Source organism: Homo sapiens, chromosome 12 (genome assembly GCF_000001405.40).
Source record: "Homo sapiens chromosome 12, GRCh38.p14 Primary Assembly".
Taxonomy (NCBI): Eukaryota; Metazoa; Chordata; class Mammalia; order Primates; family Hominidae; genus Homo; species Homo sapiens.
Genome location: NC_000012.12, coordinates 14,441,538 through 14,457,390, shown reverse-complemented (window position 1 = coordinate 14,457,390; position 15,853 = coordinate 14,441,538). Strand labels below are relative to the sequence as shown.

The 15,853-nt window shown below is 36.0% G+C and overlaps 1 protein-coding gene across 15 annotated transcripts in view; it reads right to left on the bottom strand.

The window, feature by feature from the left end:
• Positions 1-15,853, bottom strand: part of ATF7IP (activating transcription factor 7 interacting protein) — a 137,249-nt gene that overhangs the window by 45,540 nt on the left and 75,856 nt on the right. For 12 of the 15 annotated variants that reach the window (NM_018179.5, NM_001286514.2, NM_001286515.2 and 9 more), the window contains exons 6-8: positions 10,338-10,403; positions 757-830; positions 96-184 (exon numbers count right to left, since the gene is read on the bottom strand). In NM_018179.5, the coding sequence (NP_060649.3) occupies positions 96-184; positions 757-830; positions 10,338-10,403 (229 nt within the window). The remainder of the gene's footprint in view (positions 1-95; positions 185-756; positions 831-10,337; positions 10,404-15,853) is intronic. The other 3 variants (NR_170893.1, XM_047429149.1, XM_047429150.1) reach the window with 1 other exon arrangement.

Genomic DNA, 15,853 nt, shown 5'->3' with positions numbered 1-15,853 from the left:
CTTAATCCATTTCAACCTCAAAAGAATGTAAGAAAAGAGAACCAAAGCCTTTAATTCCTAAGAAAATGTATTTTGGTATTTAAAAAAAAAGTTACCTGTATTCACAGGAGTTTGAAAGGATGGTGGTGCACTCTCGCTTACATTTCTTTTGGACTCCAGCATCTGTCTCACTGTGCCTGCATTTCTATGAAATACATATACACACCAATAGTCAATAGATATGCCACTCAGGGAATACCAACTGATATCTAGAATAAGCAGTGGCCCACAGGGGAAAAAGGGTGGCTAGACTTGGGTTTCACAATCCTAAACTGCAAGCAAAAACAGTGAGGCATAGCTGGCACAAAGACTTCTAAATGCTGGGGTCTGTGGCATTAACTCTTAACTCTTAACTCTTGTATTCTAATGTCTGTTATCAGTACTTAACCTGAATACCAAAAGTAGGTCCTAATATATACAGACATTAGTCTTTCTCACCCTTAACAGAAGCATTTCTCAATTACTTGAAAGAATACTATTTAAGACAAGTGGTTAAAGAAATATATAGTGACCAAAGAATGCCTTATAATAAGTTAGCAAAAGTATTATTCACAGATGAACAATATAATGAAGCAGAAAAAGAAAATATACTAACCAAGTACACCAAACACTTATTTCTACATAAATACCATGATTACACTGCAAGATTCTTTGACCAAATAAAGAAAGTAGAACTTTGTTCTGTTTTTAAAAACTAGACAGACTATGAATTCTCACCTGTAAGACATGTTATTATTGCTGTTGACATCATTTACAGTTTTTCCTGGTGATACTGGTGGGTTGGGTGGATGCTGGGGGAGAAAAAAAAATCAAGGTAAAAATAAAACTCAACACACAGGGAATCTTTAAAAAAAAATTAGACCTGTAGATGCCTGTCAATATATTATCTGTCACTGTTCTAATATAATGGGAAACATTGCCAGCTGAGACAATAATTTGAATCTTGGCATTATCACTTGTTCATTGTATCTTAAGCAAATCATTTACTTTGCTGAAGACAACTGCTTATCATTTGAGAGATTAATATAATAATTCCTGCATCTCAGTGTTCTTATGAAGAATAAATTAAAAACACCAGAATGGCTCACATGCTGTAAGAGTTTAAAAAACATTAACAATATAAATCTAAAGAATAACCAGACTCACTCATTTAACAAATAGCTAGTGAATGCCTACTATGTAGCAGGCATCATATTAGCACCACCAATTCAACAAATAAGTGGTATCCAATGTCACAAATCAAAATTATTTTTAAGTTGTTTTTTAAAAAAATACTACCTACCACTATGTGACTTAAATTATTTAATAAAATGTCACAAATCTAAGCTTCAGTAACAACTTATTTCAGCCTTTCCCCCCAAAACCAGGGAATACAGAAATGGAATTATAACGCCTACATATTAACTATCATTATTTAGGCCTCCATCATTAATAACACTATCATCATTTATCTCTTAAAACGAGGCTGGGCACAGTGGCTCACACCCGTAATACTAGCACGTTGGGAGGCTGAGACAGGCAAGGATTGCTTGAGCTCAGGAGTTACAGACCAGCCTGGGCAACGTAGCAAAACCCCATCTCTAAAAAAAAAATACAAAAATTAGCCAGGCGTGGTAATACACGCCTGTGGTCCCACCTTCTTGGGAGGCTGAGGTGGGAGGATAGCTTGAGCCGAGGAGGCAGAGGTTGCAGTGAGCTGAGATTGTGTCACTGCACTCCAGCCTGGGTGACAGAGCCAGAACATGCCTCAAAAACAAACAAACAAAAAATGGAAGAATAAAATATCTCTACTCAAGACTAAGTCAAGTGTAAGAATAACATATTAAACCAAAGGTAGTAAATGCTTAGAATTACATTGAGCAGATGCCATTAATCACTCTTCTTAACAACAAATACATCTTGCTACTTTTTATATGACACAACAATAATTTCAACCTTCTAGTATGACATTGCATTAGATACGTGTAGAGGGAAAAACAATAGAATTAAGACAATCTGCTATAAAGGTGCTTAAAATCTGGCTGTCAAGATAAACAAATGTAAAACAAGAGAAAAGCACATTAAAATAACTGTGTAAGGCGAATGCAAAAAGCTTAAAAAAGAAAAGCTTTTAGGGAAAGGAATGCATCTTTAAGCACATTGTTGAGTAATTTTTTTTTTTTTTTTTTTGAGATAGAGTCTCACTGTCGCCCAGGCTGGAGTGCACCATCCTGCGGCACCATCTTGGCTCACTCTAGCCTCCGCCTCCCAGGCTCAAGCGATTCTCCTGCCTCAGCCTCTGAGTAGCTGGGATTACAGGTGCCTGCCACCAGGCCCGGCTAATTTTTGTATTTTTAGTAGACGTGGGGTTTTGCCATGTTGACCAGGCTGGTCTCGAACTCCTGAACTCAAGTGATCTGCCCGCCTCAGCCTCCCAAAGTGCTGGGATTACAGGCATGAGCTACTGTGCCTGGCCATCATTGAGTAATTATTACACTCAAAATGGTTAAGATAAAAGAATATTTCAGGAGAAAAACAAGAAGAATAAAAGCATAGAGAATAAATAAATGGTTTAGAACACAGGAGTCATTTGATGGAGGATTTTTGAAAACTGTGGTATGATCAGCAACATGTCAGAACAGGAAGTCCCCTCTGCTTCCCATATGGAGATGACTTAACAAGATAAGCATCATATTGCCTGCATGAGATTTCCACAAATTAGTTGAGAGGGTATGCCATCCCAGGTGAGCACAAGGCCAAAAAGAGGCACACTGGAACAGTTAGGAAAATACATTGCATTTACTCACTATACCCCATCAACCTCCCAACACAGCTTCTACATCAGAAAGGAAAGAGAAAGTTGGAGCTTGAATCCAACTGTTTAAGAAAGATGCCCAACGCATTAGATTTTGTCTTACCCAACATGGAGGACTAATCTGGAGCAAGAACTGTGACTATGGCACTTCGGATGCCTGTGAGCCTCAGAGACCAAAGGCAGGACCCTCAACTTGATAGAGCACCAGAGAAATTGCAGTAACACAGACAGACAGCAGGGGAAGCACTAATACAACAGCTTGCCAAAGTACCAGAGGCTGCTATAGCAAAGACAGGTACCAGAGGGAGCTTCAGAGTAGAGAGGCAAACCTCTTCAGATGGAAGAGTACAAGCAAAAGCCCAGAGAAGACACATAGCCAAAAAAAGGTGTTAGAGGCCCACAGACTCTCTAACAAGGCTGACTGGTGAAGCCCTTCCTGTGTACAAGAGTCCACAAAGACTGGGAGATGTGGCTGTTTTTTCAAATGCTAAAATTTCAACAAGCATACAAATAAACAGAGAAACATGGTCCAATCAAATAAATAAAATAAATCTCCAAAAACCAACCCTAAAGTAACAGAGAGCTATGAATTATCTGCCAATGAATTCAAAATAACTATCATTAAGACACTCTGGCCAGGCCTGGTGGCTCGTGCCTGTAATCCCAGCACTTTGGGAGGCCGAGGCGGGCAGATCACCTGAGGTCAGGAGTTCAAGAGCAGCCTAGCCAAAATGGTGAAAGCTTGTATCTACTAAACATACAAAAATTAGCCGAGCGTGATGGTGGGCACCTGTAACCCCAGCCACTCAGGAGGCTGAGGCTGGAGAATCGCTTGAACCCAGGAGGCGGAGGTTGCAGTGAGTGGAGATTGCGCCGTTACACTCCAGCCTGGGCGACAGGAGCGAAACTCCTTCTCAAAAAAAAAAAAGATACTCAATTAGGTGAAAGTGAAAGAGACGACAGAAAACAGCAAAATCAGGAAAAGGGTGCATGAACAAAATGAAAATATCAACAAAGAGAAACTGTAAAAACGTATCATAATACAAATTAAAAAGCTGAAGAATACACTGAAATGAAAATTCACTGTAGAGAATCAAGAGCAGACCGGATCAAACCGAAAAATAAGTCCACAAGTTTGAAGACAGGTCATTTGAAATTATCAAGCCAGAGGAGCAAAAAGAGAATGAAAAAAAGCTAAGAAAGTCTAAAGGACTTTTGGGACACCAACAGGCAGACCAATATACACATAAGGGAAGTAAAGGAAGACAGAGAGAAAGATAAATAATTGCTGAAAATGTCTGAAACTGGAAGAAGAAAATGGAGATGCAAATTCAAGAAGCTCAAAGACCTCCAACTATTGTTAACCCAAAAACATCTACACTGAGATACATTATAACCAAGCTGTCTGAATCACAGTAAATAATCTTGAAAGCAGTAAGAGAAAAGCAACTCATAACAACACACAAGGGAACTCCCATAAGATAACACGCAGATATCTCAGCAGAAATCTTGTAGGCCTGAAGGAGTGAGATAATATATTATCAAAGGGCTGAATCAAAGACCTGCCAATCAAGAATACTATACCTGGCAATAATATGCTTCAAAAATGAAGGTGAAATTAAAATTTTTCCCAGATTAGTAAAAGCTGAAGGAGTTTCATCACTATACCTGTCCTAAAAGAAGTGCTGAAGAAAGCCCTTCACGTGGAAACTAAAGAGTGTATGCATCATGGAAGCATACAAAAATATAAACTTCTCTAAGAAAATGTTGATAAGGAGAAAAATACAGAATCCTGTATTCTTGTTATATTGGTGCATAAACCACTTTTAATTCTGGTATAGAACTTAAAAGCTTAAAAAAACTAAAAATATGTTAACAGATACACAACATAAAAAGATGTGATATACGACAACAGTAACATCAAGTCATAGTGAGGCAGATATAGACTAGCGCTCTTATATGATTAAAGTTATTTGCAGTTTAACATAGACAGTTGTAACTTTAGGATGTTTTATGTAATCCCCACGGTAACCACAGAGGAAACATCTAAAGAAAATACACAAAACGAACTGTAAAAGGAATGAAAGCACACTACTATACCAAAAGAAAAACAAAAAGCAATGAAACACAAAGGAATCAAGAAACAAAAAAAAGCTACAAGTCATAGAGAAAAAAACAAAATGACAACAATAAGTCCCTTCCAATGAGCAGTTTATTTAAATGCAAATGGATAAAATTCTCCAATCAAACGACAGGTTGACTTAATGTTTTTTAAAATAAGATCCAACTATATGGTGCCTACAAGAGGCTCACTTTGGATCCAAAATACAACACAGAATGAAAGTGAAAGGATGGAAAAATATTACCATGCAAATGGTAACAAGAAGAGAGTAAGGATGGGCCATACTTATGTATGACAAAATAGACTTTAGGTCAAAAACTGTCAAAACAGACAATGAAGGACATAATGATAAAAGGGTACTTTCACCAGCTGTAACACACACACACACACCCCTACATCAGAGCTCCAAATATATGAAACAAACATTGAAAGAATGGAAGGGAGAAACAGACAGTAACACAATGATAGTAGGAAACTTCAATACCCCACTTTCAATAATGGATAGAACCATCAGACAGAATATCAACACAGAAACAGAGAACTTTAACAACACTATATGCTAATTGGACCTAACAGACACATAGGATAAGCTTGGATCAAACAACAGCAGAATACACATTCTTCTCAAGAGCACATAGAAAATTCTCATGGATAGGTCGCATGTCACAACCCAGGTCTTAACAAATTTAGAAAGAATGAAATCATACCAAGTATCTTTTCTGACAATAATGGAATGAAACTTGACGTCAACAGCAGAAGAAAAGTAGGAAAAGTCACAAATATGTGAAAATTAAACATGCTGTTTAAAAAAAAAAACCAACAAGTCAAAGAAGAAGGTAAATTACAAGATATCTTCAGACAAATGAAAATGAAAACAAAATATAATAAATTGTATGCAGTGAAAACAGTGGTAAGAAGGAAGTTTATAGTGGTAAAACACAAACACAAAGATCTCAAATCAACAATCTAGCTTTACAACTCAAAGAACTAGAGGGGAAAAACTAAACCCAAAATTAGCAAGAGGAAAGAAATAATGAAAATTAGGGTGGAAGTAAACAAAAATAGAGAATAGAAAAACAAAAACAAAACTTAAAAGTTGGTTTAAAAAAAATCAGCAAAATTGATAAATCCTTAACTAGGCTAACTAACAAAACAGATGACTTTAAAGATGAAAAGAAATGAAAGAAAGAGAAGACATTAGAACTGATGCTACATAAATGGGAAGGATTACAAGAGACTACAATGAACAATTACACACCTGCAAACTTGATTACCTAGAAGAAATAAATTCCTAAAAACACACAACCCACCAAGACTGAATTATTAAAAGTAAATAAATAAATAAATCTATAATTATTAAGGAGACTTAATCAGTAATAGAAATCTCCTAACAAAAAAAGCCTAAGGCCAGGTGCGGTGGCTCACTTGAGGTCAGGAGTTCAAGACCACCCTGGCCAAATGACGAAAGCCCGTCTCTACTACAAATACAAAAATTAGCCAGACGTGGTGGTGCAGGCCTATTATTCCAGCTACTCAGGAGGTTGAGGCACACAAATCACTTGAACCAAGATCACATCACTGCACTCCAGCCTGGATGACAGAGTGAGACTCTGTTGCAAAAATAATAATCATTAATAAATAATAAATTTTAAAAATAAAATTAACAAACAAAAACCTAAGACCAGATGGCTTCACTGGAGGATACTACCAAACAATTGGTAGTATTCCAAGAGGAGTACTTCCAAGTAGGAGTACTTTCAAATTCCATTTATTAGGCAATCATTACCTTGATACCAAAGTCAAACAAAGATACTAAAACTACAGACAAATATCCCTGATGAATACTGATATAAAAATCCTCAAGAAAATATTAGCAAACCAAATTCAACAGCATGTAAAAAGATTATACACCATGACCAAGTTGGTTTATCTGAGGAATGCAAGGATAGGTCAAGATATAAAAATCAATGTAACATATTAACAGAACAAAGGACAAAACCCACATGATCATCTTAATTGATGCAGCAAAAGAACTTGACAAAATTCAACACCCTTTCATGGAAAAAAATAAATAAAACACTCATCAAACCAGAAATGGAAATTATCTCAATTTAACAAAGGCCATACATGAAAACTCCATGGTTAACATCATACTCAATGGTGAAAAACCGAAAGCTTTCCTTCTAAGATCAGGAATTAAGCAAGCATGCCTACTCTTGCCACTTCTGTTCAATATAGTATGAGAAATTCTAAACCAAACAATTATGCAAGAAAAAGAAATAAATGACATCCAAATCAGAAAAAGAAGTATAAATATCTTTGTTCACAGATGATATGATCTCATATGTAAAAACCCTAAAGACAACTGTTCAAACATATGTAAACTCAGCAATGTTGCAGGATACAAAATCAACCTGCAAAAATCAGTTGCATATCTATAAACTATAAAAAATATAAAAAAGAAATGAACAATATAATTTATAATAGCATCGAAAAGAATAAAATACTTAGGAATACACTTAAAGGGAGAAAACAATTACACAATAAAAACTACAAAACAATGTTGGAAAAAGTTTAAAGACACAAATAAGTGAAAAGACATCCTGTGTTTATGGATTGGGAAGTCTTATTATTGTTAAAATATCTGTATTACCCAAAGCAACCTGCAGATTCAATGCAATCCCTATCAATATTGCAATAGTGGGTTTGTTTTTTTTTTCCAGAAAAAAATCCTAAAATTCATATGGAATCTCAAAGGATCTTGAATTGCAAAAATAGTTTTGAAAAGAACAAAGTTGGAGGTTTTCAAACTTCCTGATTTGAAAACATATTACATATTAGGCTAAGTTAGCCAAGGGGGCGGGGGGTGGGGGAACCACACAAAATATATTACAAAGCTACAATAATCGAAAAAAGTGAGGTGCTGGCACAAAAATAGACAGTGACCAAAGGAAATGAATAGAGAGCTTAGAAATAAACTCACATATACGGTCAAATGATCTTCAACAAAACTGCCTAAACCACACAACGGGATAAGGACAGCCTCTTTAATAAATGGTGCTGGGAAAACTGGATATATACACGCAAAAGAAAGAAGATGGACTCTGACAAAATATATAAAAATTAACTCAAAATTGACTAAAGATTTAAATATAAGACCTAAAACCATAAAATTCCTACAAGAAAACATACGGAAAAAGTTTCATGACATTGGATTTGGCAATGATTCTTTTGTATATGACACTAATAGCACAGGTAAGAAAAGCAAAAATAGACAAACAGAACTGCATCAAACTTAATAACTTCTGTATATGAAAGGAAACAATCGAGAGAAAAGGAAACAAAGGATGCAAAAAAGTTGCAAATAATTTATATAAGAGTCAATATTCAGCATATATAAGGAATGCCTACAACTTAGTAACAACAACAAAAATAAGGAACTTGATTTAAAAATAGGCAATGAACCCGAAGAGACTTTTCTCCAAAGGAGATACATAAATGGCCAACAAGCATATGAAAAGATGCTCAACATCACTAGTCATTAGAGAAATGCAAATCAAAACTACAATGAGGTATCACATACATCCATGAGGATGGTCACTATCAAAAGAACAGAAAATAACACGTTAGCGAGGTTATGGGAAATCTGGAACTCTTGAGCACTACTGGTATAAATGTGAAATGGTGCAGCCTCTATGAAGAACAGAATGGGGGCTCCTCAAATATCTAAAAGTATTACCATACAACCTAGTAATTCCTCTTCTGGGTATATATGCAAAAGAATTAAAAACAGGATCTCAAAGAGATAGCTGCACTCCCATGTACATTGCAGCATTATTCAAAATAGCCCAAAGATAATAATGGACCAAGTGTCCATCAACAGATGTAACAATAATAAAAATAAAACCAGAAAAGGGTAGCATGAGGGAGTCCACTTATGGTGATGTAACAATTTTATATCTTGACTGTGATGGGGGCTACATAAATCTATACATGTGATCAAAGTGCATGGAATCATAAACACAGACAGACATAAATGCACAATGAATTTTTAAATACACATGTAAAAACTGGTAGAAACTGTTAAGTCTGTAAACTACTTTGTAAACAAAATTGTCAATTTCTTCACTTTGATACTGTACTACAGCGATAAGATTTCACCACTCAGGGGAAGCTAGGGGAAGAGTTCATAGGGCTCTATGTACTATTGCTGCAAAAACAGGAAAGAATATATGAACATGTATCAATACAGAAAACCTCTAGGAAAAATGATTACTATTTATTGATATTGGCAATTTACTATGTGCCAGACAATGGAACTATCAAGATGAAGAAATGGACCTTGTTCAAATAAAAAAATTAAAAACAAAAAAAATTCAGGAGGAAAAGAAAATAAATCCAACTAAAAACTATAATGCAATATACAAAGTACTATATTAAAATATGAATAATAAAGGAAATAACAGAAGAGTGGCAAAATGATAAACAAAGGAAAAATGAAGGAAACACCAACAAGCAAAAGCCAGACTATGGAAGTCAATTTATGCTATGTTTGGACTTAATTGTATACTTTAAAAAATATTCAAACTGTTTAAGTCAATAAAGTGACTTAATCTAATCTCTGTATATTACAATTAAAGCATAAAAGAGGACTGACTACATGGGGAAGAAAGGAAGGGGAGAACAGGAATACTACAGGCAGTAGAATACTAAAATACTTTGGGGAAAATAGTAAGAGACCATACTGGGAATCTGACAAGAATGCAAAATGAAAGAAACAAGGTAAGACAAATCCCTGAAGCCTAATTTTAAAGATGGACAGAAAATACAGCTTCAAGAATTGCATAACCTAAGGGGCCAGTCACAATGGCTCATGTCTGTAATTCCAGCACTTTGGGAGGCCAAGGTAGATGGACTCCTGATGTTGGGAGTTCGAGACCAGCCTGGCCAACATGGTGAAACCCCGTCTCTACTAGAAATACAAAAATCAGTCAGGCATGGTGGTGGGCACCTGTAATCCCAGCTACTTGGGAGGCTGAGGCAGGAGAATCACTTGAACCCATGAGGCAGAGGTTGCAGTGAACCAAGATGGTGCCACTGCACTCCAGCCTGGGCGACAGAGAGACTCCATCTCAAAAAAAAAAAAAAAAAAAAGAATTGCATAACCTAAAATAGAATATAAATGTTGATATATGAGAATAGTAAATGAGGATTTGAAAGGGGTTCATTAGTTCTAGGGCTGAAGATCCAGAAATTACATAGAGGAGTACACAGTATGAAAGCAAATTTCAGATTTGTAATACAGTTTCCTCCTAATTCAGCATTTCCTAAGATTACCACTTAGTGCTAAATATTAATTATGCAAGAATAGAAAAATTTTACTTCATGTCTTTTCTTAAGATCTTCTTTGGCTGCTTCAAAGCGTTTGGTTAACCTGGCTATCTTGGCCTGAAAAAAAAAAAAAAGACAAAAATGAATGGAAATCAAATAGTATTACAGCATTAAAAAAAAAAACCATGAATATATAAAAAGAAACCTATAGAAAACAGGATCCTCAGAAGATAGCTGAGTAAAGAAAATAAATTAAGTTGATTATAAACTATATACTTGGAAAATACAGTTATGACTAAAACTAAGTGACCCCTAAATTCAGTACTCAGATGTAAACACTCTTAATTAGGTTAGCCTATTTCTTCCTCGAACTTTTGAGTGTTGCTCACTTACCAGTACATTCCTGAATATGTAAGCCTGTGTTTTGTTATTTTTTTAACACAGTTGTAATCACACTTGATTTTCTCATTGAGAATTATAAAGTGGAAATATCTGTAAGTCATAAAAGATCCCTTGCCAATACTACATATGGATGGATGTATAGGCTTTACTGTGACACTTTCAACAGAAGTGTAAATGAATGCTCATATATTACTTTTTCACAAATTAAATTACATATTCTGTTAGTCTTTAACAATCTGATAAAAACATTACCTTGGCTAGGCATGGTGGCTCACACCTGTAATTCCAGCACTTTAGGAGGCCGAGGCAGGTGGATCACCTAAGGCCAAGAGTTCGAGACCAGCCTGGCCAAAATGGTGAAACCCCATCTCTACTAAAAATACAAAAATTAGCCAGGCGTGGTGGCACGTGCCTGTAATCCCAGTTACTCAGGAGGCTGAAGCAGGAGTATCGCTTGAACCCGGGAGGCAGAGGTTGCAGTGAGCCAAGATCGCGCCACTGCACTCCAGCCTGGGCAACAGAGTTAGACTCTGTCTCAAAAAAAAAACAAAAAACAAACAAAAAACCCATTACCTTGTTTGTGTCAACATGGTCAGTGAGATTATTAATCATTTGTTGTACTTATACAAACTCCCTGATCACATATTTTGCCCAAATACATATTGAAAGGAAATCTGAGGGAAAAAAAAGCAGAACAAAAAGAAAAATAAAAATTATCATTTCACCACATGAATATTTGGTAGTATCTCCTTTCAGTCTTTTACTAAGCATAGACGTAATATTCAACTGTTTCTGTTGCTGTTGCTGCTGAAGCCATTTTAAATTAAACATATTTTCAAGAAAATTAAACTTCTGAGTGTATTCATGAGGCCCTACCTAAGGAAGAGCTCTGCCAGAGAATTTATTTTATCCAATAAGGGCATACATTTCATAAAAATGAGAAAATGTTATGATTTACTTTTAAAGTTTCTTGCAGAAAGCAGTCACTTCTAGAGGAGAACCCAAATCTTAAAATGTGCTTAAGTCCAATATTATGGCCTAGGCAATCAGTTACCTATGACTCTCAAAGGTAAAGATTTTCCCTAAGGACTTAGTTATTTATGCATGTTATTAAGGCTCAAGATCATAAAGCATAATTTCATATCCTTAACATGGATTTACCTTTCTGATGACTAAAATATCTCAAATAACTTTCTAAAAAGGTAAATGGGAAAGCCAGGTGCAGTGGCTCATGCCTGTAATCCCAACACTCTGGAAGGCCAAGGTGGGCGGATGGGTGACAAAGCGAGACTCTCTCTCAAAAAAAAAAGAAAGAAAGAAAAAGAAAAGAAAGGTATATGGGAAAGGGAAGGTATTTTCTGTACCCCAGCTCATGCGAGAATGTCATTTTTTCTTTAGTCAAATCATATAGGTGGGCCAGGCGCAGTGGCTCACACCTGTAATCCCAATACTTTGGGAGGCTGAGACAGGTGGATCACAAGGTCTGGAGTTCAAGACCAGCCTGGTCAACATGGTGAAACCCCATCTCTACTAAAAATACAAAAATTAGCCAGGCGTGGTGGCGCGCGCCTGTAGTCCCAGCTCTTCGGGAGGCTGAGGCAGGAGAATTGCTTGAATCAGGAGGCAGAGGCTGCAGTGAGCCGAGATCGCACCACTGCACTCCAGCCTGGATGACAGAGCAAGACTCTGTCTCAAAAAAAAAAAAAAAAAAACTAGGTGGTTACACTAAAAATTGCATAGTATGCATAATATTATTATTCTATTTTTACTTAAGCCCCCCCAAAATCATCTTGTATATGTCACATGTATAGAAAAAGATCTATACATTCCAAGGTTAAAAGTAGTCACCGCTGGAAGCTATGATTGGCAGAAAGTGGGAAAGAAAATGAACTAAGGACCTCATTTTCACATCACATACATTTGTGGTATTCAAACTCTTTTTTAAAAGAATTATCATTTTAAAAATGAATCCAGTAGCAGAAAAACAAACTCAAAATGTGGACACTGATTTATAGTTTTCTGATATTTAATATTATAAAACAGAGAAATCAAAGAGCAGCCTTTTTGTTTTTACATAGGAAGCTGTACAATTCTTTTTTAATTATAATTCAAAATATCTGCCATACTGTGTCTAAGAATGGCTATTTTGGTAGATATTCTGAGACATTTTAAAAAAATGAATAAACAAGTCATTTTTGTAACTCCAGAAAAGTGATATTCTATTACATTGGGTTTTATTTGGGAAACTAGACAAACCAAGAATTTCACTGCATATGTACCCAGGAAACCTCTTAGGAAATAACTCTGTCTACAAAAAAAAAGAGGTTTCCTTAACATCAAGGTTGGCCTATAACAAATATTACTGCTCATAAAAGCAAGTAAATAAACAGACCCACAGTTTCTATTATTTAAAACTGTCTCTGTATTAGGCTGTCATAAATTTACTTCATTGATAGGGAACAGGAGCCGAGGCTGAAAGGAAAAAGTAAAATAGACATTTTTAGTTAAATCTACTTAAAATGGCATTTTCTAAGTCATAACCAACGGAATGTTATATTCCAGAGTGTGTTGACAGCTTTTCCATTTCTGTAAGAAATCTAGTTGAAATTCCGAGTATTATGAATTTGAACTATACTGTGATTTGAGAGGAATCAAGTCTTCCTATTTAAGAGCATAGTACTAATCACTGTTGACTCCTGTTTTCTGGTTCTGTCCTTTTTCTTCATAATGGTCTTAAAATTTTATTTTTTGGTTTATTCTTAAGTGCTTACTCATTTTTAAATAACTACCATATGTGAAATCTTTTTCTCATTATATTTTCTAATTGGTTATTGTTGATATAAGGAAAACTATTAGAATATATTGTCCTTATATGAGGTAGTTGCTATATTTCCTTCTTCATTCAACAGTTTGCCAACTTAATTCTATTGGGTTCCCACTTACCAATTGTTACTCATTTCTTTTTCCTGTCTCACTGTATTGCCCAAGACTGACACCAAAGCTCTAAATAGCAACATCTATTAATAGGCATTTTCTCATTCTCAACTTTGGTAGAAATATTTCCAATAATCCATTATTAAATATGATATTTACAACAGGTTTCTGAAAACCCTTTAAGAGATTCAAGGTATTTACCTCCTGTTTTTTCCATGAATGACCAGTGAATTTTAACAAATCCTGATTTGGCATGTACTGAGATGATCACACTATTTTTCACCTTTCCTACATTAGCAGAGTAACGTATAATTGTTAATACTGAACCAAGTTTGCATTCTTAAGAGAAATCTATGCTGGGGAATAAAACTAAACTATGTTTTTTTCTCTTCTTGTGCTAGAGGTTTCACAGATGGGCTTACTTCATCTAATGGAAGTCTCATCTTTCTCCATACCCTGGAACAGTTTACATCAGACAAGAATTACCTGTTCCTCAATGATTTGTCAGAATTATCTGGCAAAGCTTTCTGGGTTCCATGACTTCTTCAGAAATAGATCTTTGACTATAGTTTTGATACAGTTCCTCAAAACCTAGCTTTCCTGCTTCCTTTTTTGAGACAGAGTCTTGCTCTGTTGCCCAGGCTGGAATGCAAGGGCACAATCTTGGCTAACTGCAACCTCCGCCTCCTGGGTTCAAGCGATTCTCCTGCCTCAGCCTCACTAGTAGCTGGGATTACAGGGATGTGCCATCAAGCCCAGCTAATTTTTGTATTTTTAGTAGAGACGAGGTTTCACTATGTTGGCCAGGCTGGTCTCGAACTCCTGACCTCAAGTGATCCACCTGTCTCAGCCTCCCAAAGTGCTCGGATTACAAGCATGAGCCATCACACCTGGCCTCCTGCTTCCTTTTTGTATACAACAGATTTCATTGGTACAAGGTTGTTAACATAAAAACGTTCTTAAAGAATCCCTTCTGGATCTTGTCTCCTTTTCTAATCCTTGTGCAGTTTATTTGTATTTATTTTATTTCTAGGTCAAAGATTTATCAGACCAATAGAACAATTTGTCTCAGATGTATTCAACTGAACAAATTGTCCCTGGATAATTATACTAAAACATATTAAGCCAAAAGTCAAAATATCATATTAGCTAACAGGAAATTGTTCTGAAATACGCAGTAAGAACGAATTCAAAGTTTTATTTCCAAACCAACTGCACCACATAAATTTAGCCAAAATGAGCACAACTGATCTCAACAAACTCCTCTCATGATCTTGCACTATGCTTTATATTTGTTGTAACAGGACTCGATTGGCTAAGTGTTACTATACCCAGAGTGAAGGGCAGAATCAGGCTGAACTATGTACACATTGCAAAACAGGCAGCAAAATGTGGGTAGAACGGTTGCCAACAATTGCCACATGGGTAGTATCTACACCAAAAAAACATATTTCCCTCTCTAGAGCACAATCATAATGATATTTGATTTTGTATGCTACTGAAAATAAGTAGATATTAATTGAAACCTAACTGTTATAAAGTTAAGATGTTAAGTGTAATCCCCAGGGTAACCACTAAGGAAAAAACTAAAAATATATATAGGAAGAGAAACAAGAAGGAATCAAAATGATATACCAGGAAAAAATCAATTGCAAAACAAGGCAGTAATGGAGAAAGTAGAAACAAAAAAGGTATCAGATATAGAAGAAAAGTAAAATTGCAGAAGTTTTTCCTTATTAGTAACTACTTTAAATGTAAATAAACTCCTTGATTAAAAGGTAGAGATTGGTGGAACTGATAATAAATCATGACCAAACTATATACCATCTGTAAGACTTCATCAAAATTTAAAAGTTTTGTGCATCAAAAGGCATTATCAAGAAGTTGTAGACAAATTACAGAACGGGAGAAAATATTTGCAATCATGTATCTAATAAGAGTTTGGTATCCTGGGCCGGGTGCGGTGAGTTTGGTATCCTGGGCAGGGCGCGGTGGCTCACGCCTGTAATCCCAGCACTTTGGGAGGCCGAGGTGGGCAGATCATGAGGTCAGGAAATGGAGACCATCCTGGCTAACATGGTGAAACCCCATCTCTACTAAAAATACAAAAAATTGGCCGGGCGTGGTGGCAGACGCCTGTAGTCCCAGCTGCTCGGGAGGCTGAGGCAGGAGAATGGCGTGAACCCGGGAGGCAGAGCTTGCAGTGAGCCAAGATCACACCATTGCACTCC